The sequence below is a fragment of the Homo sapiens genome, chromosome 9 (assembly GCF_000001405.40).
Source record: "Homo sapiens chromosome 9, GRCh38.p14 Primary Assembly".
In the NCBI taxonomy this organism is placed as follows: Eukaryota; Metazoa; Chordata; class Mammalia; order Primates; family Hominidae; genus Homo; species Homo sapiens.
Window position 1 is genome coordinate 17,151,670 of NC_000009.12, and position 18,292 is coordinate 17,169,961.

At 38.2% G+C, this 18,292-nt stretch overlaps 1 protein-coding gene across 18 annotated transcripts in view; it reads left to right on the forward strand.

The window, feature by feature from the left end:
- The window catches only part of CNTLN (centlein), a 393,595-nt gene that overhangs the window by 16,630 nt on the left and 358,673 nt on the right, over nt 1–18,292 (forward strand). For 2 of the 18 annotated variants that reach the window (NM_001286984.2, NM_001286985.2), the window contains exon 3: nt 15,149–16,902. The exons of the other annotated variants lie outside the window; for them this stretch is intronic. In NM_001286984.2, coding sequence (NP_001273913.1) covers nt 15,149–15,311 — 163 coding nt within the window. In that variant the 3' untranslated portion in view covers nt 15,312–16,902. Of the gene's footprint in view, nt 1–15,148; nt 16,903–18,292 lie in introns of those variants that run through there. 18 annotated transcript variants of the gene reach the window in all.

Consider the following 18,292-nt stretch of genomic DNA (forward strand, 5'->3'; position numbering starts at 1 on the left):
CTCATAAAATGAGTTAGGGAGGAGTCCCTCTTTTTCTGTTGTTTGGAATAGTTTCAGAAGGAATGGTACCAGCTCCTCTTTGTACCTCTGGTAGAATTCGGCTGTGAATCCATCTAGTCCTTGACTTTTTTTGGTTGGTAGGCTGTTAATTACTGTCTCAATTTCAGAACTTGTTATTGGTCTATTCCAGGATTCGATTTCTTCCTGTCTTGGAATTGGGAGGGTGTATGTGTCCAGGAATTTATCCATTTTTTCTAGATTTTCTAGTTTATTTGCGTAGAGGTGTTTATAGTATTCTCTGATGGTAGTCTGTATTTCTTTGGGATCAGTGGTGATATCCCCTATATCATTTTTTATGGCATCTATTTGATTCTTCTTGCTTTTCTCCTTTATTAGTCTGGCTAGCAGTCTATCTGTTTTGTTGATGTTTTCAAAAAACCAGCTCCTGCATTCACTGAGTTTTTGAAGGGTTTTTTGTGTCTCTATTTCCTTCAGTTTTGCTCTGATCTTAGTTATTTCTTGTCTTCTGCTAGCTTTTGAATTTGTTTGCTGTTGCTTCTCTAGTCCTTTTAATTGTGATGTTAGGGTGTCAATTTTAGATCTTTCCTGCTTTGTCTTGTGGGCATTTAGTACTATAAATTCCCCCTAAACACTGCTTTAGCTGTGTCCCAGAGATTCGGGTATGTTGTCTCTTTGTTCTCATTGGTGTCAAAGAATATCTTTATTTCTGCCTTCATTTCGTTATTTACCCAGTAGTCATTCAGGAGCAGGTTGTTCGGTTTCCATGTATTTGTGCAGTGTTGAGTGAGTTTCTTAATCCTGAGTTCTAATTTGGTTGCACTGTGGTCTGAGAGACTGTTTATTTTGATTTCTGTTCTTTTGCATTTGCTGAGTAGTGTTTTACTTGCAATTATATGGTCAATTTTAGAATAAATGTGATGTGGTGCTGAGAAGAATGTATATTCTGTTGATTTGGGGTAGAGAGTTCTGTAGATGTCTATTAGGTCCCCCTGGTCCAGAGCTGAGTTCAACTCCTGAATATCCTTGTTAATTTTCTGTTTCATTGATCTGTCTGATATTGACAGTGGGGTGTCAAACTCACCCACTATTATTGTGTGGGAGTCTAATTCTCTTTGTAGGTGTCTAAGAACTTGTTTTATGAATCTGGGTGTTCCCATATTGGGTGCATATATATTTAGGATAGTTCACTCTTGCTGCATTGATCCCTTTACCATCATGTAATACCCTTCTTTGTCTCTTTTGATCTTTGTTGGTTTAAGATCTGTTTTATCAGAGATTAGGATTGCAACTCCTGCTTTTTTTTGCTTTCCATTTGCTTGGTAAATATTCTTCCATCCCTGTATTTTGAGCCTATGTGTGTCTTTGCACATGAGATGGTTCTCCTGAATACAGCACACTGATGGGTCTTGACTCTTTATCCAATTTGGCAGTCTGTGTCTTTTAATTGGGGCACTTAGCCCGTTTACATTTAAGGTTAATATTTTTATATGTGAATTTGATCCTGTCATGATGTTAGCTGGTTGTTTTGCCCATTAGTTAATGCAGTTTCTTCATAGTGTCAATGTTCTTTACAATTTGGTATGTTTTTGCAGTGGCCGATACCAGTTGTTCCTTTCCATGTGTAGTGCTTCTTTCAGAAGCTCTTGTAAGGCAGGTCTGGTGGTGACAAAAATCCCTCAGCATTTGCTTGTCTGTAAAGGACTTTATTTCTCATTCGCTTATGAAGCTTATTTTGGATGGATATGAAATTCTGGTTTGAAAATTGTTTTCTTTAAGAACATTGAATATTGGCCTTAACTCTCTTCTGGCTTGTAGGGTTTCTCCAGAGAGAGATCTGCTGTTAGTCTGATGGGCTTCCCTTTGCGGGTAACCCAATCTTTCTTACTGCCCTTAACATTTTTTCTTTCATTTCAACCTTGGTGAATCTGATGATTATGTGTCTTGGGGTTGCTCTTCTCAAGGAGTATCTTTGTGGCATTCTCTCTATTTCCTGAATTTGAATGTTGTCCTGTCTTGCTAGGTTGGAGAAGTTCTCCTGGATAATATCCTGAAGAGTGTTTTCCAACTCGGTTCCATTCTCTCCGTCACTTTCAGGTACACCAATCAAATGTAGACTTGGTCTTTTCACATAGTCCCATATTTCTTGGAGGCTTTGTTTTTCCTTTTTATTCTTTTTTCTCTAATCTTGTCTTCTCTGTTTATTTCATTAAGTGGATCTTCAATCAATGATATCTTTTCTTCCGCTTGATCGATTCGGCTATTGATACTTGTGTAGTCTTCGCAAAGTTCTCATGCTGTGTTTTTCAGCTCTGTCAGGTCTTTTATGTTCTTCTCTACATTGGTTATTCTAGTTAGCCATTTGACTGACTCTTTTTCAAGGTTCTTAGCTTCCTTGCATTAGTTTAGAACATGGTCCTTTAGCTCAGAGTTGTTTGTTATTACCCACCTTCTGAAGCCTACTTCTGTCAGTTCGTCAAACTCATTCTCTGTCCAGCTTTGTTCCCTTGCTGGCGAGGAGTTGTCATCCTTTGGAAGAGGAGAGGTATTGTGGTTTTTAGAATTTTCAGCCTTTTTGCACTGTTTTTTCCCCATCTTTGTGGATTTATCTTTCTTTGATCTTTGATGTTGGTAACCTTTGGATGGGGTCTTTGAGTGGATGTGCTAATCCTTTCTGTTTGTTTCTTTTCCTTCTGACAGTCAGGCCCCTCTTCTGCAGGTGTGTTGGAGTTTGCTGGAGGTCCACTCCTGACCCTGTTTGCTTGGGTATCAGCAGTAGAGGCTGCAGAGCAGCAAAGATTGCTGCCTGTTCTTTCCTCTGGAAGCTTCGACCCAGTGGGGCACCTGCCAGATGCCAGCCAGAACTCTCCTGTATGAGGTGTCTGTTGGCCCCAACTGGGAGATATTGACAGGTGAAGCCAGCTGGGCTTCTGGGTTGGGTGGGGACTTGGAGAACTTCTCTGTCTAGCTAAAGGATTGTAAACACACCAATCAGTGCTCTGTGTCTAGCTAAAGGTTTGTAAATGCACCAATCAGCACTCTGTAAAAACGGACCAGTCAGCACTCTGTAAAATGGACCAATCAGCGCTCTGTAAAATGGACTAATTATCAGGACGTGGGCGGGGCCAAATAAGGGAATAAAAGCTGGCCATCTGAGCCAGCAGGGGCAACCTGCTCAGGTCCCTTTCCATACTGTGGAAGCTGTGTTCTTTTGCTCTTCACAATAAATCTTGCTGCTGCTCACTCTTTGGGTCCGCACTACCTTTGTGAGCTGTAACACTCACTGCGAAGGTCTACGGCTTCACTCCTGAAGTCAGCAAGACCACGAACCACTGGGAGGAACAGACGACTCTGGATGCGCCACCTTTAAGAGCTGTAATACTCACTGCAAAGGTCTGCGGCTTCACTCCTGAAGTCAGCAAGACCACGAACCCACTGGAAGGAAGAAACTCTGGACACATCTGAACATCTGAAGGAACAAACTCTGGACACACCATCTTTAAGAACTGTAACACTCACCGCGAGGGTCCGCAGCTTCATTCGTGAAGTCAGCGAGACCAAGAACCCACTAGAAGGAACCAATTCCGGACACAGTATCTCCTAGTCAGTATACATGGGAGTCAGGGACCCATTTGAGGAGGCAGACTGACCCTTAGCAGACCTGGAATGCTGTGCTGGGAGGTCCGCTGCTCTCTTTAGAGCTGTCAGACAGGGATGTTTAAGTCTGCTATAAGCCCCTGACTGGGGCTGCTGCCTTTTTTATAGAGATGCCCTTTCCAGAGAGGAGCAATCTGGCAGTCTGGCCACAGCAGTTTTGCTGAGCTGCAGTGGGCTCTGCCCAGTTCGAACTTCCCAGCAGCTTTGTTTACACTGTGGCCGTGAAACTGCCTACTCAAGCCTCAGCAATGGCGGACGCCCTTCCCCCACCAACCTTGACTGTCCCAGGTGGATCTCAGATTGCTGCTGTGCTGGCAGCCAGAATTTAAAGCCAGTAGATCTTGGTTTCTTGGGCTCAGTGGGGGTGGGACCTGCTGAGCCAGACCACTTGGCTTCATGGCTTCTCTCTGGCTTGTGTTCTGGGCGCCAGTAGGGTATGGAAAAAAAAAAAGCTCCTGCAGCTAGTTCGGTGTCTGCCCAATTGGCTGCCCAGTTTTGTGCTTGAAACCCAGGGCCCTGGTGGGGTAGGCACTGGAGGGAATCTCCTGGTTTGCGGGATGTAAAGACCGTGGGACAAGCACAGTATCTGTGCTGGAGTTCCTCAGACTCAGTCCTTCATGGCTTCCCTTAGGTAGGGGAGAAAATTCCCCCACCCCTTGTGCTTCCAGGTGAGGCGGTGCCCCACCCTGCTTCGGCTAGCCCTCTGTGGGCTGCACCCACTGTTCAGCGAGTCCCAATGAGATGAACCGGGTACTTCAGTTGGAAATGCAGAAATCACTCACCTTCTCTGTTGATCTTGCTGAGCTGCAGACCAGTGCTGTTCCCTTTCGGCCATCTTGAATCTCAGTAGTGCCACAATTATTGAGTTTCGTGTTAACAAATAAATTGTATTGAGTAGGCCAGTTTACAAATTCTGAATCCATGAATAAGGACTATCTCTAAAAGATAAGGGGTGTTTTAACAGAACCATCGTATCATCATCATGCTTTGAATTCTATAATTATTCTCTATTATAATTAAATATCTAGTCCGTTTTCACATTTCTCGGATTGTCTAATACCTTTTTTAAAAAAGGTTGGTTTGTTCCTAGGAGGATCAAACATGGATAGTCTACCTGCTGAATATATAGGTTCATTTTTTTCCTCTTCCATCTTTCTCTTACTCTTTTTTTCCTTGCAATTTATTTTTGGAATAAATTGGGTTATTTATTCTGTAGAGTTTCCCCAAATCTGACTTATTGTAGTACTCTGTACCCTATAGTTGCCATAAATAGGATCTTATTCAGATTCATTTTTGATATTTTGGCAAAAATAATCTTTTTAGATGTTACTATTTACAAGGCTTACTGTGGAGATTTTACAGGTTCAGTTCCAGACCACTGCAATAAAGCAAATATTGCAATAAAGCAAATATTACAATAAAGCAAGTCACACAAATTTTTTAGTTTCCCATTGCATATAAAAGTTATATTCAGAATGATTTATAATTGAAATAATAAAATAGAATTGAAAGCACTCTATATTAGCTAGCCTATGGACTTAATCCTTTGGGAAGCAATGTAATTGTGTAAAGTAGCAATTAATGTTGCTAGGTACAAAGTTGTATTTAAATTTGTAATTATGTAGAATTGATATCACACTATGTAGAAAGATACTGGAGGCTGAAGTGGACGCCACAACAAATAATGTTAGTGATAACACTGTCTACTGTCTCCTCGATAGAAAATAAAGAACGGAAGGAGAATGCAGCAAAACACATTGGGGTCTTGGTTGAGTGTTAGTGTTGTTCATTGAGCAACTTCAGCCAGCATGTTTTGAGAAGACTCTTTTTCTGATACCATTTGGCCTGAATCCCCATTCTTCAGTCATAGTGTCATGACTTACCATGTTTCAAAACCATAGCATAATATATTTGCTGATAACAATCAATACGTACCAAATATTAGTAATGATTTATCTTTTTCCATTAGAGAGGTTTCAGGATTATCCTTTGCTAATACCATTACTTTTTACTAAAATTTCTTGTGCTTTCCTGAGTGAGAAGATGTCTGAAGAATGAGAAGGTTGAAGCAAGGTGAAGGTAGAGAAAGGGGGTGGGGTAAGAGGAAGAAAGAAGAGAAAAGAGCATTTCCTCAATGTGAAAGTTAATTTTAATTATCAATTTGACTGGGCCATCAGATGCCCAGATATTTGGATTAACGTTAGTTTTGGATGTGTTTGTGACAGTGCTTCTGGAAGAGATTAGCGTTTGAATTGATGAACTGAGTAAAGCAGACTGCCCTCTCCAATGTTGGTGGCCATCATCCGGTCATTTGAGGCCTGAATAGAACATGAAGGCTGAGGAAAGTTGAATTTGCTCTCTGCTATGATAATATGTCTTTGCCAAGCATGCCAGACATGTATGTCATATTTTTTACTTAGTACTTATTTGTGAATAAGTATAAGAAAATGATCGCTTATCAGTAGTGCATAAATTTAGATTCAGGAAGGATAGTGATGCAAAGCAACCACAGGTTGTCCACATGGGTAGCTGAGATAGTGACACCTTTGCTTTCTGAGGGATCAGTGTTCACAAACATTGTTTTAAGCACAAAATCATTAAAAAATATTAATTAAAACTACCTTCAGGCTATGTATGTAAGATATATGTTAAACAGAAATCAATTTTGTGTTTAGGCTTGGTTCCCATTGCCAAGATAGCTCATTTATGTATATGAAAATATTCTGAAATCCAAAATTTGAAACACTTCTGATCCCAACCATGTCAGATAAGGGATACCCAACCTGTATCTTTTCTGTCTATTGAGATGATCATGTGATTTTTGTTTTGTATTCTATTGATGTGATGTAGTACATAAATTGATTTTCATATGTTAACTCAACCTTGCATCTGTAGGATAAATTCTTGGTCATGGTATATAATTTTTTTATATGTTCCCGAATTTGGCTTGCTGGTATGTTGCTGAGGACTTTTACATACCTATTTATAAGAGGTACTATAGTTTTCTTTTCTTGTAATGTCTTTGCTTTTTATATGAGGATAATAGCCTTGTAAAATGATTTGGGAAGTGTTTCCTTAAATTTTATGAAGAATTTTTGAAGAATTGGTATTAATTCTTTTTTAAATATTTGGTAGAATTCAGTAGTAAATCCATTCAGGTCTAGGCTTTTCTTTGTGGGTAATTTTATAGTTATGAGTTCATTTTCTTTGCTTGTTATAGGTTGATTCAGATTTTCTATTTTTTCTTGAGTCAGTTTTGGTAGTTTGTGTCTAAGAATTTTCACATTTCTTCTAGGTTATCTAATTTGCTGGGTATAGTTGTTCATAGTATTCCTTACATTTTTATAGTTTTTTAAAGATTGGTAATATCCCCCCCTTTTATTTCTGATTCTCGTAATTTTAGGCTTCTCTTTATCATGATCAGTCTAGCTAAAGGTTTGTCAATTTTGTTGATCTTTTTGAAGAACCAGCTTTTGGCTGTATTGTTCTTTCTCTTCTGTTTTTCTTTTCTCTATTGTATTAATTTCTCCACTAATTTTTATTATTTCCTTCATTCTGCTTGCTTTAGGTTTAGTTTGCTTTTATTTTTATTGACTTGAGACTTTTCCACTTCCTTGATATAGGCATTTATAGTTATATCCTTCCATCTTAGCACTGCTTTAGCTGCATTTCGTAAGTTGTTATATTTTGTTTTTATTTTCGCTAATCTCAGAGTGATGTCCTCTTTGACCTGTTGCTTATTTAGAAGTGTGTTGTTTAATTTCCACTTATTTGTGAGCTTCTCAGTTTTCCAATTTTGATTCTGATTTCCAATTTTGTTCCATTGCATTAAAATTTTTTGACATTTGTTTTATGGCCAAGCATATGGTCTATCCTGACTAGAACTTCTAAGCTTGAACTTCTCTACACTGTGTTGCAAATAAAGTCAGTTTCTTTGGAAAGAGATTAGGCCTTGTTTTACATACTGCTTTTCCTTTCAAGCAAAGTCTCTGAGTCAGGCCTCTGGAGCTGAGGATGTGAACAATATTATGCTTCTCTTTGAGTGACCCCCCAACTCTAGGAGCTGATTGCTTAGTGGAAGGGAGGCAGCAGCCTAAGGTTCTCTTGGCTTGCCTCTCCTGGCATGACACCCGTGCATCACAAGCTGGGGTCTCAATATGCTGCACCCAAAGTAGAGCCTATATTCCATAATTTGGAGCTGGACAGAAGAAAGGAGTACCCACTGCTCAATTGCACTTGCGTTGGACTTAGCCTCAGCAGCAGTTAGCTGGGGACAGGATGAGAATTGCTGATATCCTGTTCTTCCCGGGAAGAAAACCCTCCAACTGGGAACAGGAGGAAGAGGGAGCCCTGTGTTCTTGGCTGCAGCTGTCTGGAATGGAGACTACACCGTGTTGAGCTGGAAAGGTGGAAGGAGGCAGTGGTTTTGGTTTAGATACCACAAACATTGCCTTTCATACTGATTGATAGATTTTCTTGGATAGATGTTTCTTCATTTGCTGTTTGATCTTAGGACCATTTTTAGAGGCTTTAGGTGATTGTTAATAATTTTCACCAGTTTCACTGGAGAGTGGGTCAGGAGAGCTCTTCAATCATCATCTCTCAATGTTTGTTGTTTTAAAACTGCTCAATTTTGGGGTAATTTGTTATACTTCAATAGATAAATACTGGATCAAAAGATACAATGGCAATTGTGATAGAGATTGTGAATTCACTGACTTTAGAAGTTGTACCAACTTACACTTCCACCAGAAAATATAAGAAGGTGCTTATTTTTTCTACATTCCTGGCCATCATATTGTTTTTAAACTTTTTAATTTTTTTATCTGAAATGTAAAAAATGATATCCTGAAGTAGTTTTCACTTGCATTTCTCTTATTATTTGTAAGTGAACTCTAAGGGCCATTTTATATCGTTTTCTATGGGATTTTTCTTTTATATATCTTTGTATATCCATTGTCGTGCCATGTCTAATTCATGTCCTATGGTGCCCTTCAAACTCACTATATTATGTAAAGAACTTATTGGCTTCTTCTTTTAGTTATTTTACTACCTAACTTTCTCACTATCACAGGCATGACATTTTCTTCCCTTTCTTTAAATTTCACATCTTGAGGGTAATCTTTGATACCTTTTGGACTCTTTGAACAGAAAATCAATGCCCAAGTTCAGTCACTTCCTCTTTTGCAGTGTCACTCAAATTTAGTAATTCCTCTGTGTCCTTAACTTTCAAATCCTCTATCTTGGTTCTCAGTAGCTCAGCTCTGAACATCTTATTGATTTCTTTTCCAAATATCAGTTCTGTTTTACATCTTTACTTTGAGACAAAGGAAGATATAAGCCACCAAAGAAAATAATTTGTAAAATTCAAGTTAAAGGTAGCCAATGAAAATTCTAGGACTTTCTTAATGAATATCTGGAGGAAAAATGTAACCTTTAAGCTTGGATGCCTAGAGGATACCTCATGTTGCAAAGTAACCTGACTGTGAGATTTAGACATGCATGGCCATCATTAAAACAGATATTTCCACCACATTTACCCATTCATCAGGTATCAATTGAATGTCATTTGATTGTCAGACCCTCTGAAAAAGTTAGAGAAAGAGATAGCTCTGCATTTAGCTATTAAAGAATACTCTCTAATAGGAAAGACATTTGTAGAAAGAGACAATTTATAATAAGAATTTGATAAATACTATAATGATATTCATATTAATGTAATTATTTGATCTCTGGAAAAAGTTAAAAAAGTTCTCACTCTCACTAATTCTAAGTAATTAGAAGTTTATGTTGTTGAAAGTCAAATTTTGATTTCCTTAGTAGAATAATATCATACTAGAAAATATTTTTATAGTATGATTTTATTCTTATAAATTTGTAGAAAATATTATTTTCTATGATATGTAGATATTTAAGTTTACCTGTCACTTTATGAGTTTGTTATAAATTACTACTGGAAAAAGGACATTTTGAATATATCATTTGTTTATTAGCTCTACAAATCTAATTTCCTTGCTATTATATATAAACTCTCACTTTAGATTATTGGTATCATAAGAGTACAACCACTGTATTTTGTCTTTAAATGCATAAGGAAACATAATCTCAGGAAGCAGGAGTAATAAACATTGAAGAAACAGTAACATGGAGTTTCATAGAAATATAAATACATTAGGAGCCATAAGAGCTTGAATTGTTCAACTTTTCTTTGAATAACTACAAATGTGTGCCAAACTCCAGTATCTTTGCCTTAGACACAAATTTCATCCTGGCTTTAAAAATTAGTATTAGTAATACGTTATTTTTTCCATAAAGAACTTTGAGTTTGGAGTAAAGCAAGAACAACTGCTATTATTTGCCTGCTAAAATTATATTGTGAATAATTTTGTAGACTTATCCAACAATGTGCTGTCCTGCATTTTGTGTAACTCTAGGTACTGCAGCTTGTAATCCACCTACTGTTACAAATAATCTCAGGAAGTGAATTACTGTGTTTCTTTGCTGCTGCAGATCCATCCAGAGTTGAGCTATTAATCTGTTTCCTCCAGTCCTTTTTTTTTCATTACATTTGCTTCTATGGTTAATCTTTTTTGTGTTACTTTCTGTTTTTTCTTTTCCATCAATAGTTATTTGACATCTATTTGTCTTAGGGCAGTGATCTCAGTATGGTCTGTCTGAAGACCTGTGCTAGTAAGGAGAATGTGCCAGAATGTATAGCAACCTCGTGCCCTCTTCACTGAGAAAGCTTTGATACTTGTCTTTCTTTATTTCTTTTTTCTTTTTTTTTTGAGACAGAGTCTCGCTCTGTCACTGAGGCTGGAGTGCAGTGGCGCGATCTCAGCTCACTGCAAGCTCCACCTGCCGTGTTCACGCCATTCTCCTGCCTCAGCCTCCTGAGTAACTGGGACTACAGACACCCACCACCGTGCCCAGCTAATTTTTTGTATTTTTAGTAGAGACAGGGTCTCACTGTGTTAGGCAGGGTGGTCTCCATCTCCTGACCTCATGATCTGCCCGCCTCGGCCTCCCAAAGTGCTGGGATTACAGGCGTGAGCCACCGCACCCAGCCTCGTCTTGCTTTCTTTTATGGCCAACTAGTAACAACCAATTCACAGTCCTGCATTTTGAATAGCATTGCCTTAAGTTCCTATACTTTGTTACACACTACCTTCACTAGAGATACACTAAGCTTTGTTGGTAGAAGAGAATACAGTATGAAGAGAACTGGAATAGTGGTCTTCAGGGAATCACCAAATGCTCTTGAGGACCTCATTAAACATATAGGTGGTATAATTAATTATTTTTCCATCTGGATGTTTCCTTGAGTTGTTGCATTTGCTTTACTTTTATTGCACCTGAGGATGGAGGGAGGGAAGTGGTTTGGTGGGCAGGAGAGTGCACAGACTATGGGGCGTAGAACAGTTACCATAAAGTCAGTCAATAGAAACATTTCTAACTGGGCAGGGTGAAGCTCTTTTTCATTTTGGTTTCAATGGATGGAGTGACTTCTCACATTAATTACTGATTTGGAATTAGATTGGAGGATGTTAACTGTATTTTTAGGCAGACTTCTGGTTTTGATGAGGTATTAGTCTGTTCTCACACTGCTAATAAAGATGTACCTGAGACTGGGTAATTTATAAAGGAAAAGAGGTGTAATTGATTCACAATTCCACATGGCTTGGGAGACCTCACAGTCATGGCAGAAGGTGAACGAGGAGCAAAGTCACATCTTACATTGTGGTAGACAAAAGAGCATGTACAGTGGAACTCGCTTTTATAAAACCATCAGGTCTTGTGAGACTTGTTCACTATCATAAGAATGGGGTTGAGGGGCTAAGATTCCTCCCTGTGATTGAGTTACCCCCCAGCTGGGTCCCTCCCACCACATGTGGGGATTATGGGAGCTGCAATTCAAGATGAGATTTGGGTGGGGACACAGCCAAACCATATTAGATGATATATGAATCTACTAATGCATTGTTTTATTGTTATGATAATTATGCTCTTCCCCCCATTTTTAGAAATTTTTCTAGAAATAAGAGTATAACAAAGTACAAGTTGATACTGTGTTTTTGTGATTCATTAGATATCATTGGCAAATCATGCATAGATAGATTCTGCTTATTCAGTAATCTCTTGAATATTGATTTAACAGCATTTATATTTCATTGTAATTATTTCTGTGTGTCAGTTTGTTGCCTTTTCCATTGAACAGTGGGAGGACCATATTGTGCATATTTTCCACAGTGCTTATTACAGTCGCTGGCACAAAGGCACTGAATAAATGAATGAATAACTGAACAAGCAAATGCATGATATTATAATACAAGGTAGTGGAAACTAGTATCTTGAAGATAAGAATAAATAAGTGTATTTGCATATTGAAAAACATTGATCTGGCTGGGCACAGTGACTCATGCCTGTAATCCCAGCACTTTGGGCGGCTGAGGCATGTGGATTGCTTGAGCTCAGGAGTTCAAGACCAGCCTGGCCAACACAGTGAAACCCTGTCTCTACAAAAATTAGTTGGGTGTGGTGGTGCACATCTATAGTTTCAGCTACTTGGGAGGCTGAGGTGGGAGGATAGCTTGAGCCCAGGAAGTGTAGGTTGCAGTGAGCTGAATTCATGCCACTGCACTCCAGCCTGGGCAACAGAGCAAGACTCTGCCTGAAAAAAAAAATGGCCAGAAGCAGTGGCTCACCCCTGTAATCCCAGAACTTTGGAAGGCTGAGGCCGGCGGATCACTTGAGGCCAGGAGTTCAAGACCAGCCTGTCCAACATGGCGAAAACCCATCTCTACTAAAAATACAAAAATTAAACTGGCATGGTGTCGCGTGCCTGTAATCCTAGCTCCTCAGGAGGCTGAGGCAGGAGAATCACTTGAACCCGAAAGGCAGAGGTTGCAGTGAGCCAAGATTGCCTGACTGCACTCCAGCCTGGGCAGCAGAGTGAGACTCTGTCTCAAAAAAAAAAAAAAAAAAAGTTGATCTATTGAAATGATCTTTCATTCTTTCAAAAAAAAAAAAAAACCATTTGTTAGCTTTAATCGAATATGTATAAGACCAAGTCCGGATTTAACATCAAATCTATAGAACTCCTTATTTTTATGTTTTTTTTTTTTTTTTTTTTTTTTTGAGGTGGAGTCTAGCTTTGTTGCCCAGGCTGGAGTGGAGTGACGCTACCTCGGCTCACTGTGACCTCTGCCTCCCTGGTTCGGCCTCCCGAGTAGCTGGGATTACAGGCGTGCTCCACAACAGCCAGCTAATTTTTGTATTTTTTGTAGAGACAGGGTTTCACTATGTTGGCCAGGCTCGTCTCGAATTCCTGACCTCAGGTGATCTGCCTGCCTTAGCCTCCCAAAGTGCTGGGATTACTGGTGTGAGCCACTGTGCCCAGCCAAGAACTCCTTATTTTTATGTAAGACTTTAACCTCTCTACTAGAATAAAAGTCCAGATTCTTAGAACATTTTTCTTTTTTTTTCTTTCTTTCTTTTTTTTTTTTTTTGAGACAGAGTCTCACTCTGTCGCCCAGGCTCAAGTGCAGTGGTGCAATCTTGGCTCACTGCGACCTCTGCCACCCGAGTTCAAGTGATTCTCCTGCCTCAGCCTCCCAAGTAGCTGGTATTACAGGTGCCTGCCATGATGCCCGGCTAATTTTTTTTTGTATTTTTAGTAGAGATGGGGTTTCACCATGTTGGCCAGGCTGGTCTTGAACTCCTGACCTCGTGATCCATCCTCCTTGGCCTCCCAAAGTGCTGGGATTACAGGCGTGACCCATTGCGCCCGGCCTCTTAGAACATTTTCCTAAGTGACTTTTCTTAAAATAATTAATTTCAACCTTTGATCCCATGTATTGAGAGAATACCACATTTTTTTTCATGTGAAGTGAAAATTTGAAACTATGACAGTAGGAATTTAGGTTAAATGTGATGGGTTAAGCATAAGTATTTATCTTTACCTCCTCCCCAAATCCCACTAAAATGACTAGTAGAGTTTTAAAAGTGTAGAAGCACCTAAAGAGAAGTAGAGAAAAGGTGACAGTGGATGACAGATGTTAGTAAATTCTAGAATGATGTAAGGTGAATTGATAAGTGGTAACTGACTTAGCAGAATGGGGAAAGTTGAAATACATAGAATGTAGAAATTTCTAGTAATAGGTTACATCAGTAATCTGTGATGGTTGGAGTGAAGGATGAGGCTACAAAATGGGAAAATTGAATTAAAGTCTATATAAGGAGCATGTAGACTCTCTGGTCCTCCTCTCATTAAGGCAGGAGGCAGGAAGTTTATTTCCTTGAAAAATTGAAATAAGTATCTTCTGGACTTAGGGACCTCAGGCATATCAAGGTACAGGATTAGCTATTATGAAAACTGGGGGAATAAGTGAATGCCTATTCTACTGAACAGTGGGACACTAACTGAATTATTCAGCCTCAGAGTTGCTGGAAGCAGAGTCCTGATCTATCCAGTCATAAGACAAAATAATTCTTCTCTGGAGAAACTAAGCATCCCTAGAGAAACAACAGAGACACACTGACAGGTCCTAACAAAATGACACTTCCCCCACACTGTTAACTATAGAGACCTTTGGGCAAGCCCTCCACCCCCATCCTAGGTCAAGTAAAACTATCCAACATCATTTTTAGTTCCTCATTCTTAAATATGAATGTGAAACAAATGATCATAAGACATTTGAGTAAAACTTTTAATATGAAGGATAAGAAACCAGAAGTAACAGAAAAATGGAGTTCAGAGAAGACAGAGATATGCTGAATAAAACAAAGGAAAAAACTCCTATGATTAATATTGTAAGACATGTAAGGGAAAATTTGGTGGATGTGAAACATGAACAGGTGACAAAAAAAGAGAAAGAGTACTTGGAAATTAAATAAATATAACAATAAATGATTGTCAAAATAAAAAATTAACTAGAGGGGCTAGAAGACGAGGTTGAATAAATATTCCAAAGATTATAACAGAGACAAAGGAGTAGTAAATAGGAGCAAAAGGAAAAGAATAAGAATCAATATAGGTGCTATAACAGTCATTAATAGGAATTTCAGTAGCAGAGAACAGAGAAAAATGGACATTTTAAAGGAAGTAATTCAAGAAAATTTTCAAATTCAGGCTCAGGAGTTTAGGATTGAAAGCATCCATTGATTGTCCAGCACAAAGAACTATTGCAAGGCACATTATTATGCAATTTTAGAATGTTGGAGATAGTGAGATCATGAAACCTCTTAGAGGGGAAAAAATACAGCCACATACATAGAGTTAATAATTAGAATAACAGTGATTGTCTCAATTGCTAGAAGCTGGAAGACATGGAGCAATGCTTTTGTAATTCTGGGAGATAAATTGTTTTCAACCTAAAATTCTATAACCAGCCAGATATTAATCAAGTTTAAAGTAATAATAAAGACGTTTTCTGTAACACATGGTCTCACATCTCCCATTACATATTCTTAGGAGGCCACCGGAAGATGTGTACCACCAAAACGAAGAATATACCAAAAAAGATAAAAAGTTGGGATTGAGAAAATGTGAGATCCAACACATGAATAATATAAAGATATTCCAAGGTGAAGATGAAAGAAGATTGAGAAGACTTGGTAGCAGTAGTTCTCAATGAAGCAGGACTACAGCAGTTCTTTAAGAAGGATGACTCTGAAAAAATTAGCAGTGATAGATTGTAATGTTTTTGAGAAAGATATTTCATACTTTTTGAGAATTTTAGAAAGGATTAGTGATAAGTAAACAGAAAACTGCACAAATAAAAGTGACATAATTTTTGTTTTTTAAAAAAGGTAAAAGAGCTTTATTAACATTTCTCTCCATTACATTAATTAACACAACTACTAAATCATCACTTACTTGCAGGATTCCAAATGTGATGCCATATTGATTGTAAGGGGTATGTGTAAGTTTCTTGAGAGTTCCTACTCTAGATGAGTTCACTTTAAAAAAATTCTTTTCAATATCCTGTTCTTTCTCATCTCTCAGTTTTGCCTCTTATCTTTCACATGAGGAATGAGAAAAGCTGTCTATACTGATTTTCTTTTGAGATCCACACACAATTCAAGGACCAAAAGGTCAGCATAAATTTATGCTTCTCTTAGCAAGCATGTGTTTAATGTCAGAAGGAAGGGAAGGTGCATAGGCTGTTAAGGCCTGATAGAACCTAAAAGGCAGAATATACCAAAGGTATTTGTAGGGGCACTAGAATGCAAGCAAGACATTTTCTGCTCTGATGTTAACAGTTGTCAGTAAGTGAAAAATTCTACAATGAGGTATAGCATGTGTATCTTCACGGTGAGATTAATGCAGTCAGCTAAACAGTGAGGTTGTTAATAACAGAGTGATGCAATTTTTAACTGTTCAGAAAAAACAAAAAGTTATATATGAAAGGAAGTGTCATCATAGTACACCGTGTTGCTTAGCTGTGAACCATACATAATAAGTATTATGTTAAAAAACTAGACTAAAAATCAGGATTTACACCTGCCATGTAAACACTGGTCAGACGGCACAGCCCCCAGAAGTGCTGGGGTAGTGTACCCTGAGGAAAACTCACAGAGAGGGGCTCCCTGGCAAGTGTGTAGGTACTCCATTGTCCTCTTCCTTCTGGGGCAGTATAAAGCAGTCTGACAAGATTACACATGTCAGACTCTGGGAAAATTACCCCGTCACTTCTGGTATGATGAGAGACTGGGAGACACATTATAAAATGTATATAATAGTTTTTGCTATTCAAATATGTTTATTTCCTGAGTGTGACTAGTAAAAAGTTAGATAATAAGGCATGTTGAGTTATTGGAATCCTCTTTTGATTCTATGTGTTGGTTAGCAGATAGCAAATATTATAATAGCAAGGGATACTAGCCCTCTCAAACACACAAAAGAAAATCTGTCTAAATGTGTTTAGATCCAAGCGCTATCAATGTTGGGAGGAAATGGGTAAGAAGGAAAAAGATTATGTTCCTGTCTTTCTTGATGTTAGTTAGCAAAGAAAGTAAAAAAAGAAAAAAGTTATATCCCCAAATTTAAGAAATAAGTAATATATGACCTAATGAATACATTTATGGATGGTACTTGGGACTGCTTTTTTGGTGGTGGTGGTTGTTTTTTGGTTATGTCTTAATAACTGTGTTTAAGTTGAAAAAATAACATGTAACTTGGATGATATTAAGAATTAAATAAAAATATGTGACTGTTCATGCTGATTCTGTATGTGATCTTCGATTAATTTGACAGTTGCATATAAGTTAGCATAGCAGATTTTTAGGCTATTTATTATTTTGAAACTCTTAAGTTTACTTGTTGAATAAATGTCCTGTATAGCAACATTTATTAACCACAGGTATCTATTTATTTTGTTATACTTTATATACCATTTATGATAAAGACCTTTTTTTTCAGTTTTGGTTTATTTGAAACCATAGATGGCTCTATTGAATAAGGATTATGAATAAGAGTGGGTTATAGTAGAGTAGGTGATGAATTGTGAAGTTTTGTGTTGGATCTAGTGAAGGTGATAGTTTTACCGAAAGACCAGGTCAGCAACAAATTACAGGGGCAGGAGTTATGGAAAGTTTGTTCACTGCCGTAGTCTGGCATCCATTTTTTACCTTTTATTTGAATAGATTTAGAGTCTTTTTATTTTTTAAGTGACCGCATCTTGCTTTGTCACCCAGGATAGAGTATAGTGGTGTGATCATAGCTCACTGCAGCCTCGAATCTCTGGGCTCAACTGATTCTCCTGCCTCAGCCTCCCAAGTAGCTAGGACTACAGGTGTGCACCCAACATGTTTGTCTAATTTTTTAAAAATTTTGTACACATGGGGTCTTGCTGTTTTGCCAGGCTGTTCTTGAACTCCTGGGTTCAAGCATCCTCTTGCCTCAGCCTTAGAAAGTGCTGGGGTTACAGGTCTGAGCCACCACACTTGGCCTTAGAATCTTGAGTAATCCTAAACCTGATAGAACATAATGACAGCCTTGTGAATATTAGGGGTCTCTTTTGATTGCTCCAGATATCCTTGGTACATTCCTTTGAATTGTTGAATATGGTTCTCACTCTAGTTCTATGAATTGAAATCAAATATTAAACTGGAGATTATAAAATCTTTGACAAGACCGATGTCAAGGAGCTTTTCCCTATTGTTTTTTCTAGTTTTGTGATTTCAAGTCTTAGGATTAAGCCTTTAATCCATTTTGAGTTGATTTTTGTGTATGGCATAAGATAAGGGTCCAATTTTATTCTTCCACATGTAGCTATCTAGTTTTCTCGGTACCATTTATTGAAGAGACTTTCCTTTGCACATTGTGTATTCTTGGCACCTTTGTTGAAAGCTAGTTGACCATTTGTGTATGGATTTTTTTCAGATTCTCTATTCTGTTCAATTGGTCTGTTTATCTGTGTTTATGCCAGTACCGTGCTGTTTTGATTACTATAGCTTTGTAATCTGATTTGAAATCAGGAAGTGTGATGCTTCAGCTTTGTTCTTATTGCTGAAGATTGCTTTAGCTAGTCATGATCTTTTGCAGTTCCATATGAATTTTATGACTTTTTTTCACTTGTATGAAAAATGCCATTGGAATTTTGATAGGGTTTAC